A 1104-nucleotide genomic window follows, 5' to 3' on the forward strand; every position below is an offset into this window, starting at 1 on the left:
AATTCCCCAAATAACAGAAGCCAATGATTTCTGCATGTGAATTGTCCAGCTTTTAAAGTCAGCCATTTGGCCATCTGTGGCCATTTGGTGATGTGTTACTTGTGTATGGACTGCCAGTGTTACTAGTGTGGTCTCGATGGAAGGTAGCTCTTCAAGGAAGTAGTAAAAGCCAAACTGCACAAAGCAAATCCTGTAGCTGACAACAATGTGCCCAGGCTTTTCCAGATTTGCTCTAGTTATTCCAATAAGCACTATTCAAACTTATAAACAGATGAAAGGAGAAAAGAAAGGAGCCTTTAAAGACAAAAAGAGGGCTTCTTTCTGCCAGTGAAACATTTCTCAGGTAAGATCACATCATCTGCAATATGGCTTGCAAATGTGTGTTTAAGATAATTTTTGGAACAGCCTAGACCAACCAGTTAAAGTGACTAGGGGTTAAACTCCAGGAGGCACAACAGAATATATATGTCTATATATATATATACATATCTTCACACCAATACACACAAAAACCTTTTATCTCTTTATTTGTTATTTCACAAACCCTAATAACTCTAAGCTGCATAATATCTCTCTTAATGATATAGGCGTTAAGAAGAAACTGCTTAGGCAGATAGTGAGGGTATGGGAATCCTCATAGGTTTTGCTTTTTAATGAAAAGCAGCCCCAAAATCATTGTCTAACAAAGATCAGCCTGTAAGATGGAGCTGCAGACATAGAAAAGCCAGCGGCAAGCTTGCATGGGTGAAGGGCAGCAGGAAAAAGCTACGGGGACTAGGCATGTTCAAAACGGAGGCTCCATCTCCCCTTTCCTTTGCCAACCACGTGTACAGGAAGGAGCAGACAAGATGGCACCAGTCAAGTGGAAAGTCCATTTGCATAGTAAGATTCGGATGGGGTGGCCAGCCTTCTCCGCATGCCGTGTAAACCTATGTAAGCTCTAGGGAAATCAGACACCGCCTCCTCAAGCCTGCCTAAAAAATCCTGCACACTCCTTGCCGGCTGGTCTTCCCTTTGGGAAACTCTCTCTCTCTCTCTCACTAGAGGGAGACTATTCTCCTTTCTCTTTCTTTTGCCTATTAAACATCTGCTCCTAAACTCTTC

This window comes from Homo sapiens, chromosome 21, assembly GCF_000001405.40.
Source record: "Homo sapiens chromosome 21, GRCh38.p14 Primary Assembly".
Taxonomy (NCBI): Eukaryota; Metazoa; Chordata; class Mammalia; order Primates; family Hominidae; genus Homo; species Homo sapiens.